Genomic DNA, 18,168 nt, shown 5'->3' on the forward strand with positions numbered 1-18,168 from the left:
GAGGGACTTCAAGCTTCAGATGGTGGGTACATGTTGGGATTGATGACATTTTTCTTTCAAAAATCACACCTAGGATGGTCTGATTCTGAATTACCTGCAGGGATGCCAGACTCATCAAGGGTGGTTCTAAAATGCTGAATATGTTAGGATGGCTCTGACTAAAATTGGGTTCCCTGTAGGAAGGAGCTACAATCCTGGCTACAAGACTGGGCAATATTTTCTCTCCCTGCCCTTCTGCACTGAGCAAGGCATGTACCTTTACCAATTACACAGAGCCATCAACAATGACCTGTATTTCCTTTGCCTCAGAAGGCTTTTTGCCTTTTCCTAGTTGCTATGTATGATCTATAAAATTTTAATATTCATCTGGACATGGAGGAAAGACACAAGATGTCTAGTAAAGTCTGCATCCTTCGTTACTTTCAGAGGAAAGATTAGAAACTATAAGAACTCACAAGAATAAAATCCAAATGCCCATTACGTTGGTCTGACCTTGGCCTGACCTTGACCTGCCTCAGCTTACCTCTCCAGGTTTCCCTCACATCACTCTTGCCCCTGCTCACTGTGCATGAGCCACATGGGCCTCTGAGAGTTCTCAGAAAAACACCATTATCAGAATTTGCAATCACCCTAACTATTTGCTTGTTTTTGGATTCTTCTTCCCCTTTAGCTCCTTAAGGACACCCAGAGGTCTGCCTGGGGCACCGCTTGGCTTCCATCAATATTGGAATTAGCACTCAGTAAACAGCTGTTGAGCAAATACATGAGTCTCCCAGAACAAGAACAAAGACTGCAGAGGTGTGGCAATGGTGAACCAGCTCTTCACCAAACCTGTTTTCCCTCTTCTTCCCAGGTCTGCTGGCCGGCCACATTTCCCGTCTCCGACTGCATGTGGCTGTGGCCAAGTCACCAAGTGCTGGCCAAACAGGATGTGAGCAAAAACCCACCAGTACCACTTCCAGGTGCACATCAAACCTCCCACCATGGCGTCCTCCAAGCCCATTCATCTTGATGGGCACAGCAGTCTTGGAAGACATTTGCCGAGCCACAAGATGGAAGAAGTCTAGGTTCCTGAGTCACCAATGGGAAGACAGCCACAGGCTGATGGTGACATCTATTTTAGGTTCATGTATGTGAGAAGTACATTACTATATATGAGGCTTACTTGTTACAACAGCTAATACTTAACTAATACAAAAGTCGAGGCTGGGCATGGTCATTCACGCCTGTAATCCCAGCAGTGTGGGAGGCCGAGGTGGATGGATCACAAGGTCAGGAGTTCTAGACCAGCCTGGCCAATATGGTGAAACCCCATCTCTACTAAAAATACAAAAATTAGCTGGGTGTGGTGGCAGATGCCTGTAGTCCCAGCTACTTGGGAGGCTGAGGCAGGAGGATTGCATGAACCCAGGAGGTGGAGGTTGTAGTGAGCCGAGATCGGGCCACTGCATTCCAGCCTGGGAAACAGAGTGAGACTCTGTCTCAGGGAGAAAAAAAAAAAAAAAAAAAAAAGTTGAGCTGATTTATCTCTTCTCAATCAATACTGTTCCTTCCCCCAAGTCTTATCAAAAGTTGTGGATATCATAATGATATACTGGGATCAGATTCAACTGCGAGAAGTCTACTTAATGTTCTGCGGGGGTAGAAGGTATCTTACGATCTATGTAAGTCATCATAAAAGTACGTGCCTCTGACTCATGCTTGAGGCATCACATTCCCTAAGATGGTGGAGTTAGCTCTCAGTCCCTGCTGGCCCCCAAAAGGTACTACTTCAGAGAGGGAGTTCTGGCTCCATGACTTCTGAAGCTTGGTATTCCAGTGGCCCATCTCCTGACATCACTCACTTCCTAACCTAATGGTGAGGTTTTCGGTTAGGTCACTGGTTTTTGCAAGTGCTTTTCACTGAAAGCAATTTGGGGTCTGCGGGGGATATGGACTTTTTTGGAGAATCCTTAGGGGTTTGGATGATTTTTGTCAAACATCCCATTCCTGAGTGACCTCATACAATTCCAGAGTCTTAGATCTCAGAGGTGGGAAGGACTTTAGGACTCATGGGACCGTATCTTCCACTCGGTGCAGAATTCCCTCCATAACATTCCAACGATGCATCATTCCGCCTCTGCTGGACGTTTTTAATAAAAGAGGGTCCGTGCCTGTCAAGACAGCCTCCCTGCTGTGGGTCTCCTGTAAGCCTCTCTGATACTGTTGCCACCTCAGCTCCATCAACCACATGACATCCTTCAGGAATGGACTGCAGCCCTTGTGACTTTCCAGAGCTTTCCTCTGCAGGACCCCAGAGCCTTTCATTCTGTGTTTTCCAACCTGAGATCCATGAAACGGAATCAGGGACGCAAGGGAAAGGGGACCAGGCGTGCAGAGCTCTGACCCTCCGCCCCAGCCCCTCCTGTGTCATCCAATCTGCCTCGCACTTCATTTCCTTGATATGAAAATGTCACCCGATGTTTAATGAAGGCCACCCCCCATCCTCTTTCTCTCACCTCGGGCAGTAGATCTCTATCACTGGGAGCCAAGCAGCAAACAGGATATTGCATTACGGGCCCTGCAGCTCCGATATCTGATCCTTCTGCGATGGCGGGGCTGCGTGGGGAAAACTGTACGCCACCTTCCCCCACATCCAAGGCCATCAGGCTGACCTGACCCACACAGCTTCCTCTGCTCTACCCGACCCCTGTGGCTTCTGCCTGACAAAGCTGCTGGGCTGCACTGATGTGGCAGAAGGAGCAACAACTTCAGAATCTGAAAGACTCAGAGTGAAGTCTCAGTTCTGCCCCTAACTAATGGTGAGACCTTGGACAGGGTGCCTGGTCTCTGGAGCCTCACTTTCTCCCTCTGTAAAATGGGAAAATCAATGATGTTGCCCCAGATAGGGAGCTGAATAAGAATCCAAGGAGACGGTCCATGCAGGGTGCTAGCCCAGTGCTGACATGCAGGGAGCACGCGATCCCTGCTGCTATTATTATGGGTAGTGCATCTGCTGGGGAGGGTGGACAGAGTCCTCATTCAATTCTCAGATTGGTCTGTGATCCATTCTCCTAGGCTACAGGTGACCCAGCAGCAAAATTCTGCTCACAGGAGTGCCTCAATTTCCCCTGGAGCAATCGGCATTTCTCCTGTGACCCAGTTACCCAACTCCCTTTAACCAGAGGCATGGAGGAGAACCCTCCCCCAGCCAAAGCTCAGAGCCAAGTCAGCCAGTACGGGACCAAACAGTGACCACCATCCTGGGGCCCCCAGAGAGGTCCCTGGCAGGCCACTCCTTAGTCTCCAACCCACCCCTTAGTCCAGGCGCCCACTCCCTGGTCTTAGACTCAGCTTAGCTAGAAGTCATGGCTGGAAGTACCAGCAGTAGTGACAACAACCATAATAAGAACTCCAAGAACATATTAGTGCCAGGAATAGCCCGAGTGTTTCACACAGAGTATCTTTTTATTCTTTATCCTAGCAACACACCAGTGAGGCCAGTACCATCATTTTGATTGTTCCCATTTTCTGGATGAGCTAATAGGCACAGAGAGATCCATGACATACCCAAAGCTCCACCACCAGCAAGTGCAGAGGCAGCTTTGAGCTCAGGCGGTCTGCTTCCAGGGGCCATGTGGGCAGCTGCTAGCCAACACTGCTTTCCTGAATACCACGTTTGAACAAGCCACCTTGTCACCTATGACAAGTTCAGAGGAGGCAGACTCTTTTCAGGATGGATCCTGGAGAGAGCCTTCTGAACAATTCACCTGAGCTCTCCCCAAATCTGCTAGTTCATTCATCAAACATTTGCAGAGTGATGCGTCCCAGTCACCAGTCCCAGTCACGTGTATGCAAGTTTTCTTTAGGCAAGGATGAGGAGGGGGTGAGAGTACCACTCACGGGGTGCCAAGGCCATGCGGCATGCCTGGTCAGCCCTACCAGGAGCGTGTCCCAAGAGAAGAGATGGTGGCAGTTCTATGTCCAAACAACGTTTTAGCCCTGCTAGATTTTGAAGGAAGTTCTTTCACAAGAGACTTCTTGTAAGTATGCTAATACACCTAGAAAGTCCACAGGAGCAGGCACAGAACTTGCAGTATGAATCAAGCTCCTTTCAATGACAGTGCGCTTCTCTCAGGACACCCCTCTGGAAATCCACAAAACGTTCTGTGCAGAATGCTTCACTGCCACCTTGTGTCCCCAACTCCAGAGTGTGGCCTCCAAGGCAGCACTCCCGAGTTGGGAGAGCTGGAGATGCCTTAAAAGAGTTTGGTGCTGATGGGCGAGCCACAGTCTCTTTCTAACCCCGGGAGCATCTGTCTCTACACGCCGCATCTTCTGCACTTCCATCCATCTTCGCTCATCGTCCTCACCTTTCTCATGCCTGTATCACCTCTTTCCTCATACTCATCCCCTTAATAACCACCTTTACTCTCTTGCATAAAAATAAGAATCTTGCGTTTCTCTTAGTGCTCTCAATCAGTGGTGCAGAAATCTGGTTAGCATAGGGCGGGTGTTCTCAACCCTGGCTGCACCTGAGAACCACCAAGGACGACTGACATCAAAAGATGCGCTGGCCCCACCTCAGCCTAAATAACTCAGAGTCCCCTGGGGGTGTTGCCAAGCATCAGGGTCTTGGGAATGCTCCCTTGGGCCTCTCTGTGCTGTCAGGGCTGAGAACCAGTGGTCCAGGGGACATCTCCTTTCCCACGCCCCCATCCTTGCTAGTTCATGAACTAGCAACTTCTGCTCCCTTTGAAGCATCGAGAAGAATTCCTCCTGCCTCCGCCATCTTGCCCTGTGCTCTGCCTAAGGGGAGCTCACTTGCCCGCTGAGATGGCAAATGTCTGAATTCCACTAGTCATGTTTCCCCAGAACTACTCAGCTGGGAAAGTCAGGAGCCAGTTTGGGCCTCAGGCCCCAGCCACGTTCTCCTACAGCTGATGTTTTCAATCCCATCTGCCTCTGACACCTCTTTCTCCATGAATTTGGTTCTCAAGAGTCCAGAGACGCACAGATACCACGCAGCAGACCCCAATGGGTAGAGGCTATGGGGACAGGAGAAGAGGTTTTGCCCCTCAGCTTTGATACATCTAAGACACAAATGCAGGGATAGGTCAAGGAGACACTTCCCTCACCAGAGAGACTGGGCGTGCAAAGCCACAGGAAGGAACCATTCGGTGGGGGCTCTGGGGAAATCCATCATGAGACCTGACCCCCTGGGTACCCTGTTTCTGTTCAGCTTCCATCCCTTCAGTGACCCAGCTACAATACCTTATTCCTGCATGCAAGAAGGATCCCCACGCCCTCCCCAGGCTGGGACAAGCCTCATCACCGTCAACCCAGGGCTGGCCTGGGAGTCCCACCTTGCCTGCAGCTGTCCAGGATAATCTGTTAACAGACCCCATCCAGCAAAGGTGAAGAGCTGCCCACCAGAAGGAGCAGCCATTGAGGACGTTGGGCAGAGGTCAGGATGGGCCCTTGCCTAAGAGGAGAGCCTGAAAAGATGGGGCTCTTTGAGCTGCTAATGATTTCCTTCCAGGCTGTATTAGTTTCCCAGGGAACAGTCACCACAAACTTGGCAGTTTAAAACAATCAAAAGGTATTCTCTCATAGTTCTGGAGACCAGAACTCCAAACTCAAGGTGTTGGCAGGGCTGGTTCCTTCTGGAAGTTCTGACGGAGAAGCTGTGTCAGGCCTCGCTCCCAGTTTCTGGTGGCTGCTGGCCATTCTTGGAGTTCCTTGGCTTGAGGCTGCATGACTCTACGCTCTCCCTTTCTGTCACATTACCTTCTCCTGTCTCTGTGTCCCCTCTTATGAAATAAGTTCTCTCTGCGTCTGGAGCCCACACTCCAATCCAGGATGATCTCACCTCAGGACTCTGAACTTAATCACATCTGCAAAGAGCCTTTTTCCAAATACGGTCACCTCCACAGGTTCCAGGGATTGGCACGTGGACATATCTTTTGGGGGCCACACTTCAACTCACTACAAGGGGTCTGCATGCTAATGAGCTGCTCGTGCATGGAGTGAAAACGAGGGGCTGTGTCAGCCAGGTTTCCCTGGACTTCTGGAAATCCAGCTAACACCTCCACTGAAATGTGTAAACCAGATAAAGACCATGATTGACGCTCCACGGGTCACAAAAATGGGCACTTGTTTCTCTGGATGGGCTCTGGTGGCCTCATGCATGACGAGAGAAGCACGCTGGAAATCCTGTGGTCCCCCTTTGATACATGGAAAGGCAGTAGTGAGAGGGCATAGCTGGGACCACGCAAAGCGCAAACTGTGTGGGCACAGCCAGGAAGCCTGTGCCTCCATAACCACAACACCTTTCACATAACAGTGCCCAGGCTCGTCATGTCTCTTCTGGCAAGGATTCTGCAACAGGAAACACACGGGTATTTCGGAGCAGGGGCTCCAATGGCTGCTTCACCCTGAAGAGGGACTCAGAATTCCACACACAAGAGCATCCTAGCATCACCTCTTAGAGACAAAGCAACCCCTCAAAGCCCCCTATAGCCACGTGGGAATCAGCCTCCCTCTGTGTGGCCCCTCCACAGAACCATAGAGACTGGAGGCCCCAGAAAATCCCTGACTTGTGGCCTGAGGCTCCGTGACACCATGTGGAGTAAATGTTCCTTCTCATGTGACCAGGGGCATTCCTGAATTGTGACTTGTCTGATTCCTAAGCAAGATACAGCAGCACCCGCCAGGTGAACACTGGGTGACAGCTGTAAACCAGCTAAACAGCCGTAGTGTCTAGAAATGACACTCACTTGCTTTTGATATACTGATAAAGAATGGGGAAATAACTACCCTTCAGTGTCCCAAAAGGGTACTCATTGTTGGGACTGGATGTCACCGCCAGGATCCCAACTTTTGCCCAGGGGCAATTAGAAAGGGGGAAATACTCTGTACCCCGTTGGGTCTGCAAACACACAGCTGCCCAGGGAACCCCTCCATCAACCTCCCCACTGCTGAGCTACGGCAGTGCTGGGACATACAAACAACCAGACAACCAGAGACTCTCCCCATCAGGCAAGGGGCGGGAGTAGTGTGGACAACACATGGCCACTACCAGACTCAGGCCTTGATAGCAAATAAAAAATCTTTCCGATCAAAAGAATGAAAGTGGGATCTAACCTAGAGGGCAAAGCATCCCTAATTTTGGCAGGACCATGGTTAGAGATGAAAATATAGGATGCCCAATTAAAATTTGAATTTCAGATAAATAACCAACATTTTAAAAATGTAAGCAGACCTCGAGTATTGCACAGGATATACTTATGCTAAAAATAAAATTCCTGGTTGTTTGAAATTCGAATTTAACTGAGCAGCCTGTATTTTTACTTGGTAATCCTACGCAGGACCCCAGGGTGTGTGAAAAGGAGCACAGCTCACCTGATGGCTTCTGCAATCCGAGTGCTCTCCTTTCGCCGGTCGCTGGACAACCGGCCAATTAGGTAGGAATAATCCAGGCCGCTGCAGAACACGCTCCCCACTGCGCTGAGGAGCAGCAGTTTGCTGTCGTCTGTGGCTGCGTTGCAGAGCGCTCGCCGGACTTCTTTCATGATCTGCCGGCAGAGATGAATTTGCAGGGATGTTAAGTGTCTATCCTGTAAGCCTGGGGCTTTCAGACTGCAAGACAGCCAGAGGCCTGACCCCCTGAGGGTAGAGGCCAGGGAATCTGCTTCTGCCTGTGCAGGGAGCCTCCCCTGAGTACAAGCAAGAGTCCAGAGCAAGGAGAAAAACACTTATCATAGCCAAAGCCCTCCAGCACCATCCCCGGAGAAGGCAGAAGAGTGCTAATAAGGAGGCAGTGTGGTCACTGGCTGCAGATCTGGAAGCCTGGCCTGGAGTCACTCAATCCTTGGTAAATCTCTGCAAATCTTGTTCTGGCATTTGCTTATTTAGCCCTTTACAAGATGTGGAAAAAATCCATGCACAGCCCAAGTGAGGGATGTAAGCCATCTCTAGATGACTCAATTTAATTATTATACATCCTTGCTCATCTTTCCTCCAGCTCATACCCCGCACGGCCTGCAGGTGCCACATGGCAAGTGGGCTTTGGCATCAGATCCAGACCTGGGTTCAGTGTCCCACTGGAGTTCCAAGCCCCTGGTCCAAATTCTGGCTCTGCACCTTACTAGCCATGGGACCTGAGCCATGCTGGTTATTCATCCTCAATGTCCCCATCTATAAGTGGGTGGACCCACTCTCAAGGCCTCCAGTGAAGAATAAATGAAAGGAAAGGTTATGCTATGGCCACCTGCAGGTTCACATTCCTGGGAGGTAGTGATGAATTCTGGATAAAAGGCATTTTGTTCCTCCTCTTCATGCCAGTAAAGGTGCCATCTGACATGGAAGAACTGTGCTGGCCACCCTGCCATCATGGGACAAGTTCCCCTAATCTCCTGCTTGGGTCTCCTGCATGTATGCCCTAGGATTTTTAGGTCTCTATGACCTTGTCTTAGGCAGGTGGAGGGCAGGACAGAATTTGGGAGATAGACACAGGTGCCCTCGGTAAGTGGTAAGACCAACAAGTGCTACCTTAGCAGTGAACATGTACTGCAGGCCAGGTACCCTGCTACATGGGTTCCAGCCTCCCCAACACCAGTGAGTGGTCACTATTCTTACTTCCAGACCAGGAAACAGATGCCTAGAGGGGTCGTAACACTAGTCCAAGGCCACACAGTTGGTAAGTGTTAGAGGTGGATTTGAGCCCTGGCCTGGCTCACACAATGCCTAGTCTATGCACTTTGACACTGCAAATTCCCACTATCTGGCCATGGCCTTCCATTTATGGAGAAGGAGAGGACTCAGCCCCAGAGCACGCAGCCAGCCCAGGGGTGGACAGGCAGGGGTGGGGCAGCTAGGAGAGCCCAGAGCTCCCATTTACCACCCTGCAGCCTTCTTTGAACGTCTTCCCTGGGCCAAGCCTATATTCACCTAATCACCTTTGCACATGCCAATCTCCCCACCCCTTGTGGGGTTGCCCAGGCTCCTTGATTCTGAAGGTCCTTTTATGACCCACCCTATTCTCCTCCCCCTATTCTCCCTTGCCCAGCACCCCCATTTGTTTTCTTCATTTATCATACATTTACCTGTCTTACCTACTACTTGTTTGTTTCCTGCCTTTTATTTGTCCACACTTGCTCAACTGTTATTTTAATAAAGACAGGAATTGCATCTCTCTTATTCTCCAGTGTATACTCAGAGCCTAGCACAGTGCCTGGGGTATGGTGGACACTCAGTATCTGCTTGTTTAGTCACACAGAAACTCCCTCATAGCCCTTTTCCTCAACTTCAGAGGAAATTAGGCAGGCTGCTTGCTCACCCACCTAGAAGCTTTTACAAGGCCAACTCAAAAGGCACCTGTGAAAACCATTTAAAAGACTGTAAAGAGTTTGCCACCAAAAAGTTTGCACCCCATGAAAGCTAACTGTGTTTGCGCTCTTCAAAGGCATGCAGCCCGGCTATTCAGCTCCTCATCACATGAGCAACTATTTTTGGATGAGCCTGAAGGTTACAGAGCACTTGCCCATGAGTACTTGCACCCCCAACCCCTTGTGAGGTGGGCATTATTATTAGCTCCATTTTATAGAAAGGGAAACTGAGGCTCAGAGAGAAAGGTGACTTTCTCAAAGCAACATGTCAGGAAGTGGCAGAGCCTGCACTAACAGACTGGCCAGCTCAAAGCTTCCTGCGGAGATGGTACAAGCTCTGTCTGCCCCAAGCACTTTCAAACTTCGCTGCTCAAAGTGTAGTCCTTGGAACAGCAGCAACACATCCCTCAGGAGGTGGCCAGAAATGCAGAGTCTAAAGCCCCAGCCCCGACGTATGACAGGGGGTTCCAGAAGGTCCACATGCGCCTCTGGGGCTACGGTTGGGCACAAGCTCCACTTCTACCCCACAGTATCTTGGGTGTTCTGGGGTGAAATCAATAGCCTCTCCTGGTCTCCCTATTTGTAAAATTCAGAGCTACCTCAGATGAACCAACAAACAAGATGCAAGTAGACTGCTTAGTGCAGTGCATGGCACATACCCTGCAAGATGTCCCCGTTTATATACTGACCCTACGGAACAGGTCAGCTTCTGCCCCAAGCACTTTCAAACCTCACTACTCAAAGTATGGTCCTTAGACCAGCAGCTTCACATTCCTAGGAGCTGCCTAGAAATGCAGAGTCTTGGACCCCAGCCCAGACCGACAGGATGAGTTTCTTCATGTTCATGGGACCTGCAGGAAATTCATATGCATGTTATTGTTTGAGAAGTGCTGCTTTACGATATGAACTCACTTAGCCTTCTGGGGGAGTCACTTGTTGAAGCTCCATTTTATGAATGACAAAATCAAAGTACAGTCACTGTGAGAAGTTTGCAAGTATGGGGTGGAGCTAGACTAGGACTCAGGAAGTCAGACTTTGGGGACCATGTCCTTCACCGCAGGCTAGGCTGCCTCTCAAAGCATCAGGGCTTTTCATCTGAAGACCTCCACATGATAGCAGTGTGGCTACGGGAGCAGCAGGAAATGAGCTCTGTGATGCCCAGGGGAAAGCAGATCCTTCTCCCCTCCCAGACTGTGGATTTTAGGATGGAGCCAGGATCTGAAAGTGAGCTCCTGCCACATGCTACGTTCTGAGGCCCAAGCATCATCCAGACCCTCCAAGTCTGTGTACTGACTGAAGCAATCCCCCTCACACCCCTGCATACTCCCCGACTCCTTCCAATCACAACCTTGCAGCAACACTGCGTATCTAGACTACACAATGTCTCTTGGGTGCCTGGTATTCACAAGGACTCAAGGCAGTTGGCCAGGCTGAAAAGGTACAGGCTTTGGAGACAGGAAGCCTATGATGGAATCGGCTTTACCACAAACAGGCTCAGCCCTTCTAGTCCTTCTGCTACCTATTTGCCATACCACAGTCAGGACAAGCCACTCCAGCAAATAATTTATTTTTGCTGTAGGAAAACTCTCCCATGAGAAGCTAAAACTCCATACCTGCCCTGTATGTGGATTTGAAGTTCTGAGTTACCACACCCACATGGGGAAGAATCCACAAGATAAAAAAATTAACACAGAAATTGGACACAGGCTAGTAATATCCCTGAGGTGTCTGATGGAAATGAATGTAAAAGTACTCTGGGGAGAAGCTGCAACCCAGACCGCATGGGAATTACACAGGAAAAAAAACCCTAGCAGGAGATGAGCTCACAATCAAAAATCACAAAACACTTGGGAAATACAAGTTGGCATACTCAGCAAATGAGCGGATTACATAACATGACTTCAAGTAATACAAGGATCCAAAAGAGACTGTAAAATAGGGATGTTTCAAATAATCACAGAGAGGAAAACAGACATGAACAATAAGGAAAGAACAGGAGAATATGGGGAAAAAATAGATTTGAGGAGAAAAAGAAACTTCTGGAAATGAAAAACAAAGTCATGGACATCTGCTGAGATCAACAGCAGATTAGGTGGTGCTAAAGGGAGCATAAAGTAACTGAAAGACCTGAAGTAATTGACCAAAACGTAGCACAGAAAAACAGAGATGGAAAATATAACGGAGAGATTAAAGACAAGAATGCTAAGATTTAAAATTGGTGCTGTAGGGATTCTATCAGGAGATCACAGAGAAGAGGAGAAAGTCAATATTGAAAGAGATAAAGGATGAGAATTTAACAGAATTGATGAAAGATCCACTAGTTTCCTATGGCTGCTGTAAAAAATTACTATAAATTTGGCAGCATAAAATAACATAAACTTATTATCTTATAGTCCCTTAGGTCAGATGTCTGATGCAGGTTTACTGGGTTAAAATCAAGTTGTCAGCAAGACTGCATTCCTTTGTGGAGGCGCTAAGGGAGAATCATTTTCTTCCCTTTTCCAGCTTATAGAGGCCACCCACATTCCTTGGTTCCTGGCCCCTTCCTCCATCATCAAAGGCAATAATGCCGAGCTGGGTCTTCCTCACCTTCTCAGTTTGTGTCACTCTGACAGATTCTTCTGCTTCTCTCATCTACATTTAAAGACCCTTGTGATTACATTGAGCCCATCCAGGTAGTCTAGAATACTCTCTATTTTAAGGTCAGCTAACTGGCACCCTTAATTGTATATCTGAAACCTTAAATCCCCCTAGCCATGGAACCTAGCATAGTCATAGATTCTGGAGATTTGGACATGAACATCTTGGGGAGAGGGCTTCTATCTACCACAGACTTGAATACTAAAATTTAAGAACTACAACAAAAAGCTAAGCAATAGAAATAACAATACACGCAAGCACAGACATATCATATTTAAACTTCAGAACATCAAAGACAAAGCAAAACCTTAAATACATCCAGAGGAAAAAGAAAGCTTACCTACAGAGGGCAAATATTTAACCGGAGGCAAATTCTACATAGCAGAAATAAATTCCAGAAGGTAGCAGAATACAATTGTCAAGGTGCTGAGGAAAACAACTGTCAACAAATTCTTCACTCAGCTAAATTCACTTAAAAGGAAGGGTAAAAATTAGGCATTTTCAGTCAAAGAATGTTTACCATTTTTAGACCCTCACTAAAAGAACTAAAAAGGAATGTACTTCAAGAAAAAGAAACTATATTCAGAAACAAAAACTGACCTGCAAGGAATAATAACCAGCAAAGAAATTGGTGGATCACACCTGTAATTCTGGCACTTTGGAAGGCTGAGGCAGGCAGATTGCCTGAGCTCAGGAGTTCGAGGCCAGCCTGGGCAACATGATGAAACCCCAACTCTCCTAAAAATACAAAAAAAAAAAAATTAGCCAGGCATGGTGGTGCATGCCAGTGGTCCCAGCTCTTCAGCAGAAGGATGGGAGGCAGAGGTTGCAGTGAACCGAGATCGTACCACCGTACTCCAACCTCGGTGACAGAATGAAATCCCATCTAAAAAAAAAAAAAAAAAAAAAGGAAAAAATTGGTGAATGTGTTGTTAATAAAAAAAAACTGACTATAAAAATCATAATACTGATATTCATTAATTTGAGGGCAGGGGTTGGTATGGCGTACAACTGTAGTAGCAGGCAATAATATTGTAGAGGATGAGAGGAGGAATGACTAGGGTTGGAGCATGTCAAGGTTATATTCGGAAGTGGTGGAGGTAGTTACTCTTAGCCTTTGCTATGTGTATATAATTTAGGGATAACTTCTTAAAAATACATGAATTATAATGAATGGGGAGGAGGATAAAATAAAGAACACCCAATCACTGGATTGTTAAAACAAGAGCAGAAAGTACATAGTGATAGAAAACAAGGCATGGCGTGTGCCTGGGTGAAGCTTAGAGGCTAACAGAAGAGATGATAAGTGAGCAAACTTCCAAAGGATCACTATTAAAGACTCCACAGGCATCATCACGGTGTATGGAAGTTAGGGGGATACTGGGAAAATACTGTTTTTTAAGGTTAAAGTTTTAAAAGAACTTCCATTTCTTAAGCACCTAGTAGTGCCAGGAATTGCACCAGGAATTTTATTCCAAACAAAAATCTGGTAAGGTAGGAGATGGTATCTCAACCTTGCAAGTGACACCATGAAGACTCAGACAGGTGCAGTAAGATGTCCAAGGTCACACCAACAGTAAGAGGCACGACCATGATTTAAATCTCATGCTAACCATCCTTTACTTTCTCCTACTTTATACTGTTGGATGATTTTTTTTAATGGATAGGATTTTGGTGGAAAAAACAGGGCTGGATGTCAATCTGAATTGAGAATCTCCAGCCCTGTGCCCTGCTGGAAGGATGGAATAAGCACATTCCAGCCTATCTGGGTATAAGCAACAGATATTCATTTTGAACATCAAAAAAGCTCACAGGCCACTATCTTGTGGGTCCTTTAATCCATCTGCCTCCAGAAATAGATATACTCTCACCTATACATGAACTCTATTTCTCTGAGAGGCAAATAAAAAAAAAAAGAAACCCTGCTGTAAAGAGGTGAACTGAAATTCTATAGATGACTCAGAGAGTAGCTTCTCTGGCTAAGGCCATACTTACCTACTTCTCAATTCGTTAAGAAAAAATAAATAAAAGACCAAACAAAACAGCCATCTCATTTATGAATTAAACTGAAAATAAATTTGCATTTTATTGATACAAAAGTACAAACTATACTGTTTTTCATTTTTAAAAAAGTTATATCTAGTTTATATCTCTTTTCTTTCCTTTTGGTGTTGCTAATTCAATTTGGACAGATGGCTAAGATTCTACCTTCTTGAAAGACCCCAAATTTAATAATGTAACTGGTTCATTTAAAGTAAAATGTTCCGAAATTAGTCCACATTCTGTTTCCTTCTTAAACAGAATATACTGTATGCATATAACTACCTCTCAATGGTCACCTGCTGGCCTATAACAGAAAATTCTTCTTAGAGGCTTCTGGGATGTGATTCTATAACAAATAGTCCCAGACTGCTATGCATTTTGAAGTCCTAAATATGTCCTGTACATTCATTGCCCTCATTATGCACTTCCTAGCTGTCACTTGCACCTGCTATTAGTTGTCTGCTGGAGAGAACAGACTCCCCCTCTATGACCTCTAGCTTTGGATCCGGCGTGGGTTTACACCCAGATAACCAAATTAATTAGAATGTGATGTAAAAGAGGAATCAATCAGGGTCCTTCTCTTTATACTTCATCTGTACCTGCTGAAATCCAGTCACACCAGGCCTATCTCAAATGCAACCACCTTCAAGGGAGATTTCCCCGTACCCTAGACTAGATGCATACTCTCCCTTCTCCCAAAACCCTGAATACTTTAAATCCTTGTTGTGATTCTTCTGACAAACTCCCTTGTAGAATGTGCACCTCCTTACTGCATCTTGCCTTCTGTGTGATTTAAACCCCTTGTATTCACACTCTTCTGTAAATCCCACCCTCAAGAGAAGACTGGACCTAGCAACTGGCTTCAACAGAAGATGCCAAAATGATGGCAGGTCATCTTCAGGAGGAGAATAGGTGACAAAAGGATCATCCTCTCTTGCTCTTTCTTGGAGTTCTTGCTCTGAGGGAATAAAGCTGCTTTGTCATGAGTAGCCCTCAGAAGAGGCCCACATGGCAGGAAACAGATGCATCCAACAACCACGTGGGTGAGCTTGGAAGTGAATTCTCCTCCAGTTGAGCCTTCGTGTGAGACTGCAGCCCCAGCCTCCACTTGACAGCAGCCTTGTAAGAGACCTTGAGCTGGAAGCATCTGGCTGAGCCATGCCCAGATTCCTGACCCACAGCAATTATGAGACAATAAACGTGTGCTGTTTTAAAATGCTAAGTTTAAAACAATCTGCTACAGTTATAGATAACTAATACAATCCCACAAGAGCTAAAATAGCATACTTACCATCTTTATATCCCTTGCAGCACCTAGTCCAGACCCTTTCACATAAAAGAATTTAACAAATGTTTACTGAATTAAGAGAATGCCAGTCTTTATCCCCAAGAAGTTTACAGTCTAATGGAGGAGGGGGGGGATATCAGACATTTAACAAGTCACCCCACAAATACATGTAGACTAACAACTGTGATAAGACTTGTGCAAGTGATGGGTGAACTGAGACCTGAAGGAAGAGCAAGAGTGAGTGAAGCAAGGAGGAAGAAAGGCCCGTTCCAGTCAGAGCACATATAAAGGCCCCGGGGCAGGTGTAAGCATGAAAGCAAACCAGGTGACTGAGGTACAGGAGGACAGGTATGTGAGGTGGGCTGCACGATGAGGCGGGACTGCACCACGCTGAGGGTTCTGACTGTCAGCCAGGGTAATCAGGAGCCATCGACACATTTGGTTGGGGAGGGGTGTGTGTATAAAGGGTTGACTTGGCCACAGCTGCATTTCTGGAAGATCATTCTGCCTGCCTTATGCAGAATGGATTACAGGGCAGGAAGCATGAAAGGAGGCAGACTTATGAGACGGCTAATTACAGCAGTCCAGACAAAATAGCCTAGTAGTGGACTGTAATGGTTATGGTGGAAATAGAAGTAAACATATGAAAGAGCTATTCAAGAATAAAGGTGAACCGGCCTTGAGACAGGTTTGCACATGGGGCCACGACAAGAGCGGTGTGAAAAGGGACTCCTGCATGTCTGCTGTGTTCCTGAGAGTAGTGGTAGGATTGTGGGCTGAGGCCAAGGGCACTGAAGGAAGACCTGGAGTCTTCTCCCAATGGGGAAGTGGATAAGCTTTCAATCAAGGAGACTGTGTCATCTGTTTCACTGACTCTTTCCTTAAGGGGCATTTCTGTTCATCTCCTGGTTCTCTGCTGTATCCCAGACAGGAGAAATATTACAGCAAACCCACTAGCTTCAGAATCTACTTAATGCACACAGTAATGTATGAATTTCTGCCCATGAGGCCAATCCAACCAATGTTACACATACAACTAGAAAAAGCAACTTAATTATAACCATGAAAGTGGTCGCCTTCTGGTTCCTCCATTCACAAGCAAGGCAATGTCTGCTGGTGGACATTAAATGGCCTCTGCTTCCCATTAACAATGATGGGAACATTTATTACATACCTCCTATATGCCAGGTACTTTGTGGGCTCCTGTGCATACATTATCTCTAATCTTGCCAGCAAAATACTGTAAAATTTCTATAAAGGAGGAAGCTCAGAGCAGCAAAGTAACTTCCCAAGGTAACAGCATGGTAAGTTGAAGGGAGGATTGGAAGCCAGGTCTGCTAGACTAAAACCTGTATTCCTCCTCTCACACAGCCTCTTCATTTCAGTAGGACCTTCATTACGGGCTGCTTTACCCAGTCAGCTGGCTCACCCACATACTCAATCCCCTTCAGTTGTTGAGACAGCTGAAAATACCAGATCAATAACTTTGACTGTTTTCCTCCTGTTCTGTAACCAACTGACACTGATTAGGGCAGGAACCCCAATTAACCAAGCCCGCAGCTCAGGAGGTGAGAACCTGTGCACCTTAAATCAGACGAGCACAACATGTTTTCCATGATGAGTGGGCAACAGTTACCACCCAGGGCTGCTCCACAGAGGGAATGAACTGGAGACTTCACATGTGTTCAATTTCTTGAAAGAAAATGCTGTGCCTTTTTAGAGCACGCTTTTAGAAAGTAGTGAAGTAGAAAGAATCTAGGAAAAACTGGTCTCTGCAGATGTCATGATGAGCTTAAAATAATGAGGTTTCCAGGTGTATAAACATATGAAGAGCTGCTTTCGGGGTGGACTGCAGGCTCTGGGCTTCTTTGAATCCCACACAGAGGTCTACACAGCAGAGAACCCCAGGGATGCTTCTGTTACAGGCGGAGGATGGAGAGGCCCCCAAAACACCATGCTCAGAGAAGGGGCAGCACACAACCACTACCCCACAACCCCAAAGCTTTAGCCACAGTGCTTCCCTCACCATTTGTCAATCATTCCAGATGGCCGCACCCACAACCCCGTAAAAGAACCAGGGTCTATTTCAACCATAATAATAATGCAATCACAAATTCAAGAGCACAGCACCTCCCTCCCCACCCCACTTCCTATGCCTCCCTGATGGTACGGGGTACACTGGACAATGCTAGGTCATTCTATTATCCCGATGTGAGTGAGTGGCCATCCCTTGACTTCATCCTCCAAAACATACCCTTCTCATTAACCTCCCATTGCTATTATGAAAAAGAGAATACAGGATATTGCAAGGACAGAAAAAGGGGTCTCGGAGTTAAATGTCTTCAGTGGGCCTGGCACTGGGATGAACAGAAGAGACAAAAGGGCGAGCAAGAACAGAACCCCTGCCCTCCTGGCACCTACTTGGTTAAGCTGTGAGACCCTAGCCCAGTTGGGTTGTTTAAGCCTAAATTTTCTCATCTATACAATGTGGATCATAACAATCCTACATCAGAAGGGAGGTGACGAAATGACATGAGATAAACAGCAAATACAAGGAACAAAGAGCCCCTGTTCAGTGGCTGTCATCACTGTTATCGCCATTTACCACTCTACTGCCCTACCCCAGGCATCTTGTAGGAAAAGGCTGCTTCGTGGAGCATCTTCCCACCTTTGTGCCGTCAAGAATCTGTTCCCTTCTCCTGCCATGTACCCTGTATTTTGAATGATGTTGTCAATCTCACTGCATTAAGTATTCATTGTTTCCCTATTTTATTCATCTAAGACATAAGCATGATTAATATTTAAAAAGTAATGTAGAAAAAGCAGTAA

General features: G+C 46.8%; 1 protein-coding gene across 4 annotated transcripts in view; it reads right to left on the reverse strand.

Annotated features, from left to right (window-relative positions):
• CDYL2 (chromodomain Y like 2) overlaps positions 1–18,168 on the reverse strand; it is a 207,131-nt gene that overhangs the window by 15,473 nt on the left and 173,490 nt on the right. For all 4 annotated transcript variants that reach the window (XM_011522866.2, NM_152342.4, XM_011522867.3 and 1 more), the window contains exon 4: positions 7,384–7,556. In XM_011522866.2, the coding sequence (XP_011521168.1) occupies positions 7,384–7,556 (173 nt within the window). The remainder of the gene's footprint in view (positions 1–7,383; positions 7,557–18,168) is intronic.

This window comes from Homo sapiens, chromosome 16 (genome assembly GCF_000001405.40).
Source record: "Homo sapiens chromosome 16, GRCh38.p14 Primary Assembly".
NCBI classification, from domain to species: domain Eukaryota; kingdom Metazoa; phylum Chordata; class Mammalia; order Primates; family Hominidae; genus Homo; species Homo sapiens.